The sequence below is a fragment of the Homo sapiens genome, chromosome 6, assembly GCF_000001405.40.
Source record: "Homo sapiens chromosome 6, GRCh38.p14 Primary Assembly".
NCBI classification, from domain to species: domain Eukaryota; kingdom Metazoa; phylum Chordata; class Mammalia; order Primates; family Hominidae; genus Homo; species Homo sapiens.
The window spans coordinates 99,183,553-99,199,581 of NC_000006.12; the positions used below are offsets into that span (position 1 = coordinate 99,183,553).

Genomic DNA, 16,029 nt, shown 5'->3' on the forward strand with positions numbered 1-16,029 from the left:
ATGGATTCTTTACAAATTTCTTACAAATTCATTCCAGAGAGGCATGTTCAGCTTATAAAAGAAATTTAAAGATTTTTCTCTAAACTGAATGGGGAGAAAACTTACTAAATATGCAAGGAGGAGCCTGTAGATTTTAACTCTAAATCACAGCAAATAGTTACAAATGAAACACAGAGCACCCAATAGATACCCAAAAAATATTTGATGATATTGATCTCCTGCATCCTACAATGAGCTTTTAGCGGGGCTTTGATAGTAATTGGGTACCTCATCTTAATATCTTGACACAAAGAAATTTGGAATAATCCATCATTGTGTTTCTCTAGGATTCCAAATAACAAGCACTGCAAATGGGGTGAGAACAGGTTGACCTCACAAGGTCCCTTGCAACACTGTACATGAGAATTAATAATAAATGGAGGCTAGCATTTTTATTGATAATTTCTGTCCAGAACTGAAGGTATCTCATAGACACTGGCTGTACTTCCTACCATTTCTTGAAGGACTAAAAAAACACGGTTACACTCATTTTACAAATCAGCAAACAGAAGTCAAATAATTCAACAAAGTTCACAAAACATGCCCACCTTGGCCAGGAAATGTGCCTGGGTGTCTCCACCACTGATTCAATGAGTTACTGATTAGTATTACCTTTCTGCTTACTGTTATTCCCTACACTGTTAGCTTCATAGAACAAATCCTAACTGCTGAACTACTTCGAATATAGTTGTCTAACATCATTGTACTGTTCTTAGATTTGCACATTGACCACATCTAGTAAAAGTCTTCTATTGCACAGCTTACTTGTTGTATCCCATTCAGGAATAAGCAATAAACCAAAAATATGTAAGTGAGGAATAGGGGGAGAATTGCAGGCTTATTTCACTCTTGCATGTACACATACACAAAAAAGTTCCCACTTTGTTGGGTGTTTCTAGTAGGTTATCATCTGCATGATGAAGGCTCAAGGCAGCAGGAATGATAGGGCACTTAGCACAACAATCAGATTAGAAAAGAACAGTTTAGACCCTAAACAACTGACCACTTCATGAAGCTTAAAGAATCCAAAGGAAAAAATTTAGAAATTATCTGAGTATCATTTGAGTTATGTAGTGAATAAATCAAATACTTATAATTTCTTCACTTCCTTATTATATTTGCCCACATTCCACAGTGGGAGAGGATCCACGGAAGATGTTGTAAACCAATTCCTACTCTTTTCATCTGTTTCTAAATGCAGTTATGCCTTTGGTTAACAGTATGCAATATGCTGAACTTCCTTTAAAACCTTGAAATCATCTCAACAGCCTCAGGGTAAAAGGGAAATTGTGTCAGCAGCAACCAAACGGCCAGAAGGTATAGCTTAAATGTTTCCCAACATCCAGGCAACACCTGGCAAATGTCTAGTGGTTGGAAGAGCTAAGTGTGCCCACTAGGAACAGATGTGAAAAATGGATAAGGTGAACATACATCCTCTATTGGAATGTTGCTAGCTTTATTTTGTTTGCTTATATAAATGGACTGCTACTTCTTTATATTTCTACAGCCCTTTCCTATGTGATGGTCGGCAGAGCCCATGGCAAAAACCACCCTTCAAGGCATGGTTGGGTGACAGACAGAGGGTGCAGCAGGGGAAGCAGGAAGACCAGCTCATGTAGGTGCGGCCGGTCAGATCATCACCTGGAGAGCTTCTGACCTCCTCCCGTGAACTCTCACCAGTTCCACTTCAGGTACCTCTTGCTCTTCTTGTGTTCAGCTTGCTCATTCCCTCCAAAGAGGACATTGCTCTAGATTATACTCCTCACCTCCCTCTACCATCTCTCAGGTTGCATTCAGTATCAGAAAATCCAAGAAATATATTCACAGATGTTCCCTTGTTTATTTGTTGACTCTGTGTAATTTGTTTGCCCTAATTTGTTTTTGTCTACCTGGGGACTTCCCTTTTTAATTTCCCTTTCTCTGTTTACCCCTCTTTGTGGAGCAGCGGTCTGTTAAGCTGTGAGAGGCACACGCCAAATTAAAAAAAAAAAAAAAAAACAGCACTGCAGATTGTTTTAAGCATGGGCTGCCCCTTTGGGCCTGAAGGCCTTGCTTGAAGCCTGCACCTGCTCCTCCTCCTGAGACGCAGGGCTCCTGATCTTTATCCCTTGCCTTTAAGCTGCCTGATTCCTATTATCCAAAGTCAAACAGCGTTCTCTACATTCACGCCTCCAGCACTTGGCATGAAATTAATAAGCCTGGCTGATATATTTCCCTGGAAGCCTGCCACTCTTTAATAGTGGTGTTAGATTAAAAATTTTGGCATGGTTAATGAACAGGGAAAAGCTGAAGCCAAAAGTTTCATGCAGCAATGCAAAGATTTGGGGGTTATGAAAAGAATACCAACTTTTCTCATATTTTCTGAATGCCATCCTAATTACAGGGTTAGATAACAAACACAACTAGACAGTCAGCATTAGAAGAAAAGGTGTATTCTCAGGCTTTACTCGTATTTAGATTTTATCGTCTGTCCTTTCAATCACATGGCCTTCTGTTAGATTGGGTTATCTAAAATTGTAATAATAGTTATTTGTGCTCTAAACAGATTTCCCTCATACGAGGTCACTATTTTTCTCATTAAAGGAGCACTATGAATGGGTTTTGGACCGAAAACTGATCTTCCTGAAGTGAAAGTCATTCCAGTGCGAGATTATTATGCACTTATTAAAGACCAGTGTCTCACAGTTGGAGTTCCAGTACTCATTGTTTAAGTCTAAAGCAACACTCCCCAAATCATGAAGACACCACCTCTCCCCACCACAGGAGATGTACTTGATACCTAGGCCATGCTTTTGCTCCCCAACCTCTTAACCCAGCCCCAAGCTATAGAGAATTAGACTCACCCAGAAGATGTAAAATCCACTGGGTCCTCATGACCCATTCCATTGGTAAGGGTTTCGCAAAAGGTTTGACAAGGGTTTGGCAAAACCTAGGCAAAGTCCCATATCCCATGCAGAGCGCTCCCAGGGCAGAAGGGGTGCACAAGCATGGTAACATGAGTACTCTATTCTTAGTTACCCATCTCTACCACTTAGATATTAATGCCACATAACAAGAAGCCTGGGAATATGAAAGGAACACAATGTGAAGGAGGCAGGAAAGGAAGGAGGAGCAAAAGGAAAGTTATGTTTGTTTGGTGGAAACACAAATATGTTCTACAACTCTGTCCTGTCCCCTGAGGAATAGCCAGGAGTTACAGTGACCAACAGGTGCATGCCATCCCTCTTCAGGGACTCTTGGCTCTGAGTCCCAATACATGGCAAAGGTGGAATTGCCAGAGCTGTAGAATTGCCCAATTCTTTGTCCAATTAGGAAAACCTAGGCAATGAGCTCAGAAAGAGACACTCAGCTGATCAAACACAAGATTTGTTTTTCATATGCTCTAAAGCATCAGGTTAAATCAAACTTAACCTATCAATGATCTACAGATAATATAAAGCCGAGACTACCTTTACTTTTTGCTTTAGTTCCCCTACTCAACAGAATAGTCATAAGAAAAGGCATCATCAAAATCACCACCATCACTCAAAAGTTCATTTCAACTGAAAAACAGTTACCCAGAAGTAAATGCATGAGAATCACGTCACCTCCACTTGTATTGGCCAATGTGACAGCCATTCTTGAACAGATACCCTATCTAATCAATGACTTAAAGGAAAAGTTAAAATGGTAAATAACCCTCCCTGGGCTGAAAATAGGAAGTATGACTAACATTCTTCTCTTAAGTTACTAGGAGGAAAAAGGATTTTAAAGCACATGAGGATTTCATCAGGAGACAGGAGTTGACCCTTGGTAGAGTCAAATCAATTTCACAGCAACCCATTACAACAGGTGTCTACTGTATTCATAATTGCAGGATACTTCAAAGCTTTTTCTCAATATAAAGAAAGCATAAAGAGATCAAAGCTCCTAGACCACACATTATGCAGTTGAAAGTTGTCCCAACATGTTCCCTGCTTACAAGACAAATAAGTTAAATGTATTTGCAAATGTCAACTTCATCCCTTTTAATGCCTCTTAAATCAGGTCAGTGAGTCTATTTTGGAAACATAAGTAGGATGACTCACAGATACTTCCTTGGCTCATTACCCAAGCAACTCCATTTTAAGCACTCTGGAGTTGCCCTCCTGTGGTCCACATCCTTCGGACATTGTTACAATCTGACCCTTTGCTTTTATGGCCCCACCTCTTTGTTCGATATGCTGCTGTCTTACACTTGCATCATTATTGTGTCACCTGAAAAAAAGTAAACTCATTTCTAAAAATAATTTGGCTCTTCTGGCCCTAAGAGTAGATGTTGGTTTGCTCTTGTGGCTGCACTCAAAGTTCTGTCTCAAACCAAACTTGCCCAGAATACTAAATTCCTTTCAAGGGAAGACAACGCTTTGCAATAAATGATCTATCCCATTTTAAAGACTAATTCCAATGTTCCAAAGTGTCCATTTTTTCTTTTACCCAGAGTTCTCTAGGAAATGGTGTTAGAGGAACAAGTATTGGGTGTCAAAACCTGGCTTGATCTCTCCCCCAACAGGATTATCTCTCTTCCTTGGAAATAAGACCAGCCAGACTTTATTCAGCTCTCCACTTTCCCCAAGGTTCCCATTTCCTGAGCTGCTTTGAAAACCTCCAATGGCAATGGCTCTCAATCAGCCCATCACCCCGGCACGGCCACCCATTATTTCCTGTAACACACCCTCCAACCAAACGCTGAACCACCACTGAATAGGCTCCATTACATGTTCTCATGGCACCTTAATAGGTGCTATGCCACATAACAAGAAGCCTGGGAATATGAAAGGAACTCAATGCGAAGGAGGCAGGAAAGGAAGGAGGAGCAAAACTTCCATCATCATGGAACTCAACACAACAAAAATTATAAAGTCATTTTCATAAAGTCTATCAACACTGTATCCCTGAGCCTAGCCTACTGTCTAGCACATGTAGGTGCCCACCCCAAGTTAATAAATAAAAGAACAAATGAATGGACCAATGTCCTTGCTTTCAACCTTCTCACAGGTTTACATTTCCTAAGCAGAGGAAATGCATCCTCATGCCAGCTTACACAACGAAAACTTTAAGTTAATATGCATTGTATAAATAAGTGAATGACTATATGTTTATCATCAGCCAATACTTTGAAGACAAAAACCTTGTTCATAATTCTTCAGGTTCTGAGAAGCACAACTCTCCTGGAGAAACTGCCTAAGATGAACAGGAACACAAGGAGAATTTTAGTGGACAGTAGGTTTTAATTATTTAAAGGGGGATAGAAAATGCTTCAGGCCTCAGAGTATCAAACATGCATCTTTCTCATCCCCTCACCAACCTAGTTGGGCCAGTTTAGAAGCATTCTGCAGCACCTTCTGAGACGTCTCAGTCCTAGCAGTTATAAGCTTCTACTAAATAACCAGTATACATCATCCTAGAGACTAACCACAACCTTGAGCTTGATGGGGGTTCAGACAATGTCCTTACTGGGCTCCCAAGCTCAGGGCCAGACAACTTGGGCTTTATATTAGTTTCCTGTTGCTGCTGTAACAAATCAACCACAAACAGTTATTTAAGACAATGTGAATTTATTATCTTAAAGTTCTGAATTTCAGAGGTTTAAAATGGGTCTCACTAAGCTAAACTCAAGGTGTCGGCTGAAGTGTGTTCCTTCTGGAGGCTCTAGGGGAAAATCCATTACTTCGCCTTTTCCAGCTCCTAGAGGCCACCAACATCCCTGGGCTTATGATACAATTTCATCATCTTCAAAGTCAACAGTGTCAGGCCAACTCCTTCTCACACTGTGGTGCTCTCTCTATTCTGCCTCCTTCTACTTATAAGGACTCATGATTACACTGAACCCATCTACATAATTCAGTACAGGTTAAGCATCCCAAATCTAAAAATATGAAATCCAAAATGCTCCAAAACCTGAAACTTTTTGAGTCCCAACATGACACTCAAATGAAATGCTCATTGGAGCATTTTGAATTTCAAGTTTTCAGATTTAGGATGCTCAACCAGTAAGTATAAATTCAAATATTCTGAAATCTGAAACACTTCTGGTTCCAAGCATTTCAGATAAATGATACTCAACCTATATAATCTTCCCATTTCAAGGTCAGTTAATTATCAACCTTAATCCATCTACAACTCTAATTTATTTTGTCATATAACCTAACATATTCACAGATTCCAGAGATTAGGACATGGACATACTTGTGGGCCATTATTCTGCCTACCACAGGCATGCAGAGCAGGGGAAGCAAAGTCCTAGAGTCCTGGGAGGCACTAGCCCAGGATGGAAAGGAAGGGCCACAGGGTGGAGAACATTCCCTACAGAAGCTCTCAGTTAGGATATTAGCACTGCTGTCCATGCAGTGGAGTCTACAAGAATCCCCTGCCTCTAAGGTGGCTCCATCTCTCCTTTCAGGAAAGAGTATGAAGTGATGAATTTGTCTATACTAAGGGACTTCTCATGTCCTTCCCATAGCATAGGAGCTCCTGGAGAAAGGGTCAACACTTGACATACATAAAGAGATGACTTACCAATGGTAAAATTTCAGATTTTATTTGGAAAGTTACTTGGCTGACTTCTTAAAATACATTATGTATTCATTCCTCAAACCACCTTTGCAATTAGGCTGACCTTATACCGAAACAGAAACAGTCAGATCGTAAGAAGATCACATGTGAGCGAGAATGAGAATGAGGCAGACCACAAAAGACCCAACACACACCCACGCACACATACTCACACACACACACACACACATATGCACAACATTCTTATATTGTTCTTAGACATCAAGAGGGCCTTTTTCACACACAGAAAGTTAAATAGGAAAACAGTAACTTTTCCATTACAATTTGCTGCTGCCACCCCCGTAGGGGTGTCAGTACGGGTCAGTTAATGTCCTGTGACAAGCCAGGGTGATATTCTTTATAGGGTAGTGTTTATCTTCACCATATGTTTTCTAGTATTGACTGAGAGTGTTAATTGGTGTTTCAGGAATCGGGAGAGGGCAGATCAAGGGCATCTACTAGAGGCCTCATCATCTAGTGTCCCCCAACCCTCAATTAGTAGGTTAACACATGTCTAAATGCTCATAATTTGTGCTGATCTACTGCTTAGCCAGCAAATGGGTCCCACTTGGAATATGCTATATATCAGCCTTACAGTTTTTCTGTCTTCTAGTTTACTTAGGAAAAAAAAAGAGAAGTTTTTTTTAATATGATGGCTACAAATAAAAGTGAATGTGATCATACTGAGGTTCCTGAGTAGTTGAAGGTTTCAGGGGCACTAGATGTCCTGGCTTAGTGGCCTCCTCCTAGGAAGATCCCCCACCTTACCATCTTGTCCAAGTTCTCATTTTCCCATTCCTCATCCCGTATTCCCACCTGTCTTCCTGAGCATGGATGATAATCCCTTCCCAAGGTTGTCAAGGCATTTCTTCTCTTACAGATCCACACCAGTTTCACTTCTCTAGGAAGTTTCCAAACTATTTATTTGAATATTCAACCTCTGCTATGGTTTGAGTGTGTCCCCAGAATTCATGTGTTGGAAATTGGGTCCCCGATGTGGCAGTGTTGGGAGGTGGGGCCTCTAAGAGATGATTAGGTCATTAAGACCTAATATCCCTTCCGTTCTCACCCACTTCCCCTTCCACTTCCCTGCCATGTTATAAGGCAGCACAAGACCCTCACCAGAAGAAGACCAGATTCAGCCACCTGATCTTGGACCTCCCAGTTTCCAGAACTGTGAGCTAAATAAGCCTCTTTCCATTATAAACTTTCTAGTCTTCAAGTGTTATAATGACAGAAAACAGAGAGCCAGGCATAGTGACTCACACCTGTAATCCTAGCATTTTCGGAGGCCAAGGAGGGAGGATTGCTTGAGCCCAGGAGTTCGAAATCACCCTGGGCAACATGGCAAAACCTCATCTCTATTAAAAAAAATTAAATAAAAATGTAAAAAGAAAACAGACTAAGATAACCTCACTACAAATAAAGACTTTCAAGTTAAAACTACATGGAAAGATGAAATCTCAAATGGAAAAGATCCTATAACTGATGATGTTCAAAATAATAAGGCTGCTAACAACATGGATAAATAGGTGCTGCAGTTTGAAGTGTTTGCAACAACTTATCTGCAGGGCAATTTGGACACAATTATCAAGAGTCCTTTAAATGTTCATTTGCTTTGACTCAGTAATTCCCCCTTAGGAATTCTTATTAAGGAAATAAAGAGAAGTGTACTCAAAGACTTATGCACACTGTTTTTCATCACTTAAGTTGTTTGAAATTCAAAAAAAGAAATCTTAGAAAAATTTAATTCCAGCAATAGAAGGGTAGTTAAATAAATGAGGCTGTCATTTAAAAATATGTTTTTGAAAAGAACGTAACAAAATAGGACAATGGTGAAAACACAATGTTAAATAAAAGAGCAGGATGCACTCCCATTTCAAATTTGTTTCATATATTGAATTATTAGTATTTTTTCTAATATTTCTTATTACTCCTACTCTTACTCATGTGGTATTAATTACCTCAGTGACCAAATGATGCAGCATAAAGTAGAAAACACAGGAGTCAGTGTTTGACTCCAAATGCCTCATCCCTGACATAGATAAAATAATTGGAAAGATGCACTGACAAGAAAAGCAATGCCTTCCCCCACACATTCTACCCCAAGATGAGGTAAAGATCCTCTTGTATGGGATAAAGTAAGAACTGAAGGGGACATAGAGAAGCAAAAAGCATATATGCATTGTGTGTGTGTGTGTATGTGTGTGTGTTAGGGAGGGTGTGAAATATGATGATACACTGCAAAAACAGAACAAAGATATCCTAGGCCCTTCTTGGACAGAAACCAGGGAAAACAGCAAAGTAATGTAGAGTTCCTAATGCCCAGGAAAGAAATGGCCATGTGCTATGTGTAGGCTGATAAGTCCTTCAACAAACACACACACACACACACACATCACACACACACACGCACACACACACATACACACACACACCTCCCAGCAAAGCAGGGCAGCAGCAAGACAAATTAGTGTGTCCAGGTGTGACACAGAGTGAACAGGCCCTTTGATGCCCTAACGAAATCTCCTGCAATCCAAGATGGCATCACACCTGAACAGCGATGCCCGCATGATAAGAACAAACAGTGCTGACATGATCATAAGAAGGAAATGGCTGAAAGACACAAGCCCTGACAACACCTGTGGTCAGGAATGAGGCAGTCAGGAACAAGGGAAGATTCAGCAGCAGCCTGCATGATATCTCAGTAGTAGTAACACTCAAGGGACCAGGGCTCACCCTCCCTCAGAGCTTTAACATTGCACCAGCCTTCTTCCTTCTTTCACCAAAGACCAGAAAAAGAGTCCCCTCCTGCTTTGCATCAGTCACTGACTCCACTAGAGTCAAGTTTTTAACTTTCGACCCATGTCCAATCATCTATCAAGTCCCTTATCTGGCCAAGTCTGTCTGCTCTCACTGCCCCACTCAGATGCAGCCCTCCTCCAACACAACTGGACTGCTGGGCACAGGTTAAGGCTCTCCTTCCATCTAGGCTCGTGGAACCTCATTGCTCCTCCTCCCATGCTGCAGGCAGAGTCATCCTCCTGAAATACTTATCTCATGGCCCTGCTCAGAAGCCCCCAGCAAGTCCTTAGCCTGGAGCCCAGGCTTCAGCTGGCCCTGAGGTCACATGAGAACCAGAGCTGCCCAATGTGTTCACCTTAACTACCCATTCTCTGCAACAAAAACCCTATTTCCTCTTGCTTGGAACATCTTCCCAATCCAAACTAGCCACTCCCCAAATCCCAAGTCAGTCTCATTGTCTCCACAGTACTTCATCCTTTCAGACCCCACTGCTCTCTCCTTTCTTAGATTCCTATGGCACTTGCTATCTGAACTATTCCCTCAATCTCGTAAATATATGTGGCCTCGCATTTTTTTCATAACTGAAGCCCCTGTAGCTCAACTGTCCAACTAAGTCAAGCTCCCAATGATCAGGAACAGGTCTTATCCTTAAGTTGCCCAATGATGAGGGCACAGTAAATGCTCTTTAATGCATTCATTAAACGTCAACTCCTTCTCAGGTATTTTATTACCAGCTTCATGTAGGGCAGATGGGAAAGTGGGGCAGACTGCAGATAGGGACAATGGGCAGAATGTAGACCCAGGAATCGATTCCCAACAAAGGGGACAGTGCTCACTCCAGGGCATAAAGCTTGCACCACCTCAGTGAAGGAATTCAGCTAAACCCCATATTTAAGACTACATTGGTGAGAGAGATCTAAATGTTCTGACAGTACTAGTACCTCTAATGTGCACTTCACATCTGGGATGGAGAGAAAGGCAAAGTTTTAAAGAAAAGAATATGAGCTCTGGACTTCTTTACCGAAGGAGTTTAAGCACAATTTATCAAATGATGGTGCAAAGCAGAGATTACAGAACACATGTGTGTGTGTGTATGTGTGTGTACCTACACACATACTTATAGCCAAGAGAGCTAAGAGCTGACCCATCACAGTTTTTAAGAAATGTTTAATAGAGGCGTCTTCAAGCCCCGGGCCATGAACCAGTACCATTAGGAACTGGCCCGCACAACAGGAGGTGAGCAGCAAGTGAGCGAAGCTTCATCTGTATTTACAGCTGTTCCTCATTGCTCACATTACTGCCTGAGCTCTGCCTCCTATCAGATCAGCACCCGCCTGAGATTCCCATGGGGCGCAAACCCTATCGTGAACTGCACATGCAAGGAATCTAGGTTGTGCACTCCTTATGACAATCTAATGCCTGATGATCTGTCACTGTCTCCCATCACCCCAGATGGGACCGTCTAGTTTCAGGAAGACAAGCTCAGGGCTCCCACTGATTCTACATTATGGTGAGTTGTATAATTTTTTCATTATATATTACAATGTAATAATAGCAATAGAAATAAAGTGCACAATAAATATAATGTGCTTGAATCATCCCAAAACCATCATCTTACCCTGGTGGAAAAATTTTCTTCCATGAAACTGGTCCCTGGTACCAAAAAGGTTGGGGACTGCTGGTTTAATAAATATATGTTTAGACCAAGAAAGAAAAAGCACACCCACCATATCAGAAAAAAAATAGATAAGAAACAACAGGAAATTCACACACACACTCAAAAGTTCAATAAACATAGAAAAAAATTCTGCCTCATTAGTAATCAATCAAAAGTCTTTTTTTCTTCCTAACTTCTTTCCTTTGACCTATGAGTATTATAAATGAGAATTTCAACAAATTCAATTAAAGTTTGCTTTAGGTCTATTACATGTCAGACATTGGGTAACGATGGAAAACCATCAACAGGTTCAAGCAAGGGGGTGGGTGTGATATGATCACCTCTATCAATTTTATTCTATTTTATTATGCTATTCTAATTACCCACTAGAATGATGAGGACAGTGGCAGTGGAGGTGACAACACTTGTTTCAAGCTCAAATCATTCTCTTCTTTTTTCTAGCCTATCTTCTCATTCTCTAATTTAAATTCACTACAGTTACCAATATTACAAGTACTGCAGAAGGGTTGTTTTTATGAAAGGCTAAAAAAATTTCACGAAAACTGTTTCTGGCTTTTACTTTTTATCAAAGTGTTAAATTCTAAAACTTGGGAGTCGTGTACAAATGTACTCATATTCAGAAGTGAAAATGAGCCATTTATTTTTGCTGCCTGAGTTAAGTGAACCAGAGAGCAGTAGACTAATACTCGCCAGATAAAAATTCAATTCACTTAAAAGAATCATTTTTTATTTAATCATATAGCATGATTGTAAATCACTTTGCCCATATCTAGTACTGCATGACCGATATATAATAATAATAATAATAACAATAATAATAATAGCATTGGTGGTCATCCAATTCACGGTAAGTTGCTATTTGGTACAGAAATGAAGATAAAGACATCTAGGGCAGGAGTCTGATCTCGGATCTCCAACTACAAAGATGTTCTATCCTATCTACTTCAAATGTATTCTGTTTTACTTGGTTTTGCTTTCTTTCTCTTTTCTCAAGTAAAAAAAAAATGCTAGGTGTTATTTTATGAGAAGCCCTAGGTCTTCTCATAAGGAATAATGACCAGAAGTTCATCTCTTGAGAGCGCCTGTTCACCTTAAATGCTTTCCCCAGTTGTTGGAGAGCATGACTGGAATCAAAGGCCAGATTGAGATCTGTGGTGATGGGCTCTCAGCTTCCACTACTTATAAAGGAAAAATGTTAACATCAGAAGGTGGGATTTGGCTCTGAAATAACAAGATATTCTGTTAAAGATGTACATTTTTGTGCCCTGGCTGTAAATGAATCCAGGTCTGTTGTTTTTGCTTGGAAAGGGTATTTGGATAAATAGAATAATGCAACACATTGAATCAACTCAGCTGAGAAATATTCTGGAAAGGGGCTCAAGCCTCAGTTTACGTAACTGAAGAGAAACTAGGAGCACTCTACAGTTCTCTCCACATGGACAGCACACAAAAGGTCAATTCAGGAAAAGTCCAAATCAGTTAATCCAATTACTTGGCATCACTGAAGCATAACCTTAGTGTTCAAAGGTAGATGCATTCCAGGACACTGAATTGACTGGAAGCCTGCCATGGTTGGCTACTTTTCAGCAGGTGAAGCTTTAGAAACTCCATTTTACCTTTCAAAATTGCTTTTTGGTAGACTACACATTGGGTACAGTGTACACAGCTCAGGTGATGGGTGTATCAAAATCTCAGAAATCACCACTAAATAACCTATTTATGTACAAAAATAAATAAATAAGAAAAAAATGCTTTTTGGCACTCCTGTTCCAAAGGGCATTCACTCCCACTCCAACATTCTGTTCCATTTCACCTGCTGTTGTTTGAGTCCTTACCAGGTGGCAGGCACTGTGCTAGACACAGTAGAGGCAAATAGGATGTAAGGGCTGACTTTATGGAGCTCAGTAAGAAGAGGTACGGTTTTATTACTAAGGGCCAACTTGCAGTCTAACATTGTTTATAATTATTTTGTTAGAGGGGGAGAAAAAACACCTAAATCTTCCCCAAATTATCTTTTTGATCGGCCAATGAAAACATTTTATAACTGAGAGCATTGATCAAGATCCCTGTAGGAAACTTTCACTTCTAGTAAAGATAGGACTCAAGGTATTTCCAAGTGAGGAGAGAGATATTATGGAAATGGCAAAATTACCATGAGAATAGCTATTAGAAGAATGTTAAAGGACCTTATGACAGAGGCCCCATCAGCCTCAGGTGCCTATTTGCCAGACTATAAAGTCATTTTCAGCCATTCACACCATCTGATAGGGAGAAACTTCCAGAACCCACTGTAGGATCTTAGGAGAAGGCCTCTACTCAAACACATCCATGTTTTGTGCCTTTTTGAGTTGCAAGAATTGCAGTATCAAACTTTCCCTCCCATGGACCCTCATTCATGAAAATAAAATCATGGGAAAAATGACACATCCTTCCAAGAAAACCTAGGAGAGACCAACACACAAAGATAATAAATGTTTAACACACACTGTGATTCCTGCACGTCTTTCTCTGGGTTTCAACAACACCTTCCACATCCCTGCTTCTAGCACTTGCCATATCAATCTGTAGTCATTTATGTATACATTTGTCTCCACCTTCTAGAGTGTGAGCTCCCCTGGGGCAGAAGCTACACCAAATTCATGTTTGTGAATGCCCCAGAATGGCCAGATGAGCTGATGCATAAGTGGGTTTTTCCCAGCCCTAGCACTATACTTCTGGAAGACCCATACACAGAAAGAGATGCTGCAGCCCTTTCCCCAGGAAGAACCTCAAGAAGGGATATGATCCTACAGACCCTTAGCCAGAGAGGAACATGAAATAGAAGAGATGACCTGTCCTGAGACAATCCTGTCACGAAGACCAGACACAAAATTTGCAGAGCCTAGTGCAAAATAAAAATTCAGTATCATTTGTTCAAAAATTATTAAGAATTTTGTGTCTTAGTCCATTTCATGCTGCTGCAACACAATACCCAAGAGTGTATAATTTTTAATAAGCAAAAATTCATTGGCTCACAGTTCCAGAGGCTAGGAAGTCCAATGTCAAGGTGTTGGCACCTTTTGAGGGCCTTCTTGCTGCATCATCACATGGCAGAAGGGAAGAAAGAGAGCAAGCAAGAAAGACAAAGAGAGAGAGATTGAGAAAATAAAGAGATAGTTTGCAAGAGGGAAAGAGGGCCAACCCCTCCCTTCTATAAAGGCATCAATCCTACTCATGAGAGCTCTGCCCTCATGGCCTAAACACCTCTTAAATGTCCAACCTCTTAATACTGTTAAAATGGCAATTAAATTTCAACATGGCTTTTTGGAAAAGACAAACATTCAAACAACAGCAAATTTCAAGAATTGACAGCAGAAACCAAATGCAGAGCCCTTCTGAATATGGAGCCCCGTGCAACTACACAGGTCAAATGCCCATAAAACCAGCCCTGCTTGTCACTTTCTTTGCTTCACCCACACATTGCCATCCAGTTGCACCACTGCTTATGCCTGATCAATTCTGCCTCCAAAGTTTTTGGCTAAAAAGAGAAAATGAAGCTAATATTTATGATATTTTTGTGACCTAGACAAAATTGTAGCAATAGAACTGTGTTGCCCTCAAGTTCTTGGAGAATCATATTTGGGCAGCAACAAAACAATAGATACTATTTGCTACTAGATGGCAAGCAATATGCAAAGCATTGGCTGATTTCATCCTTGGAATGGCCCTATAAGATACGCTCTATTAGGGTCTCCATTTCACAGAAAAAGAAACAGACTTTAAAAAGTTAAGTAATTTTATTTATTTTTTTTTTTATTTTACTTTAAGTTCTAGGATACATGTGCAGAACGTGCAAGTTTGTTACACAGGTATACGTGTGCCATGGTGGTTTGCTGCACCTATTGAACCATCCTCTAAATTCCCTCCCCTTGCCCTGCACCCCTCAACAGGCCCTGGTGTGTGTTGTTCCCCTCCCTGTGTCCATGTGTTCTCATTGTTCAGTTCCCACCTATGAGTTAGAACATGAGGTGTTTGGTTTTCTATTTCTACGTTAGTTTGCTGAGGATGATAACTTTCAGCTTCATCCATGTCCCTGCAAAGGACATAATCTCATTCAATCTTATGGCTGCATAGTATTCCATGGTATATATGTATGTACCACATTTTCTTTATCCAGTCTATCATTGATGGGCATTTAGGTTGGTTCCATGTCTTTGCTATTGTAGATAGTGCTACAATAAACATATATGTGCATGTGTCTTTATAGTAGAATAATTTATATTCCCTTGGGTATATACTCAGTAATGGGATTGCTGGATCAAATGATACTTCTGGTTCTAGATCCCTGAGGAATCACCATATTGTCTTCCACAATGGTTGAACTAATTTACACTCCTACAAACAGTGTAAAAGCATTCCCATTTCTCCACAGCCTCACCAGCATCTATTGTTTCTTGACTTTTTAATAATCGCCATTCTGACTGGCATAAGATGGTATCTCATTGTGGTTTTGATTTGTATTTCTCTAACGATCAGTGATGTTGAGCTTTTTTTCATGTTTGTTGGCTGCATAAATGTCTTACTTTGAGAAGTGTCTGTTCATATCCTTTGCCCACTTTTTGATGGGGTCATTTGTTTTTTTCTTGTAAATTTGTTTAAGTTCCTTGTAAATTCTGGGTATTAGACCTTTGTCAGGTGGGTAGATTGCAAAAATTTTCTCCCATTCTGTAGGTTACCTGTTCACTCTGATGATGGTTTCTTTTGCTGTGCAGAAGCTCTTTAGTTTAATTAGATCCCATTTGTCAATCTTGGCTTTTGTTGCAATTGCTTTTGGTGTTTTCATCATTAAGTCTTTGCCGATGCTTTTGTCCTGAATGGTATTACCTAGATTTGATTCTAGGGTTTTTATGGTTTGGGGTTTCACATTTAAGTCTTTAATCCATCTTGAGTTAATT

The 16,029-nt window shown here is 40.3% G+C and overlaps 2 annotated features.

The window, feature by feature from the left end:
* Positions 706 to 1,274: an enhancer, noted in NCBI's record as "NANOG hESC enhancer chr6:99632134-99632702 (GRCh37/hg19 assembly coordinates)". NCBI's record gives its function as "activates a minimal SCP1, AML or CMV promoter by ChIP-STARR-seq in naive H9 embryonic stem cells {active_cell/tissue: H9 hESC(naive)}" and the evidence as "EXISTENCE:reporter gene assay evidence [ECO:0000049][PMID:30033119]".
* Positions 6,660 to 6,709: an enhancer, noted in NCBI's record as "active region_24853". NCBI's record gives its function as "activates an Ori minimal core promoter by ATAC-STARR-seq in GM12878 lymphoblastoid cells {active_cell/tissue: GM12878}" and the evidence as "EXISTENCE:reporter gene assay evidence [ECO:0000049][PMID:35858748]".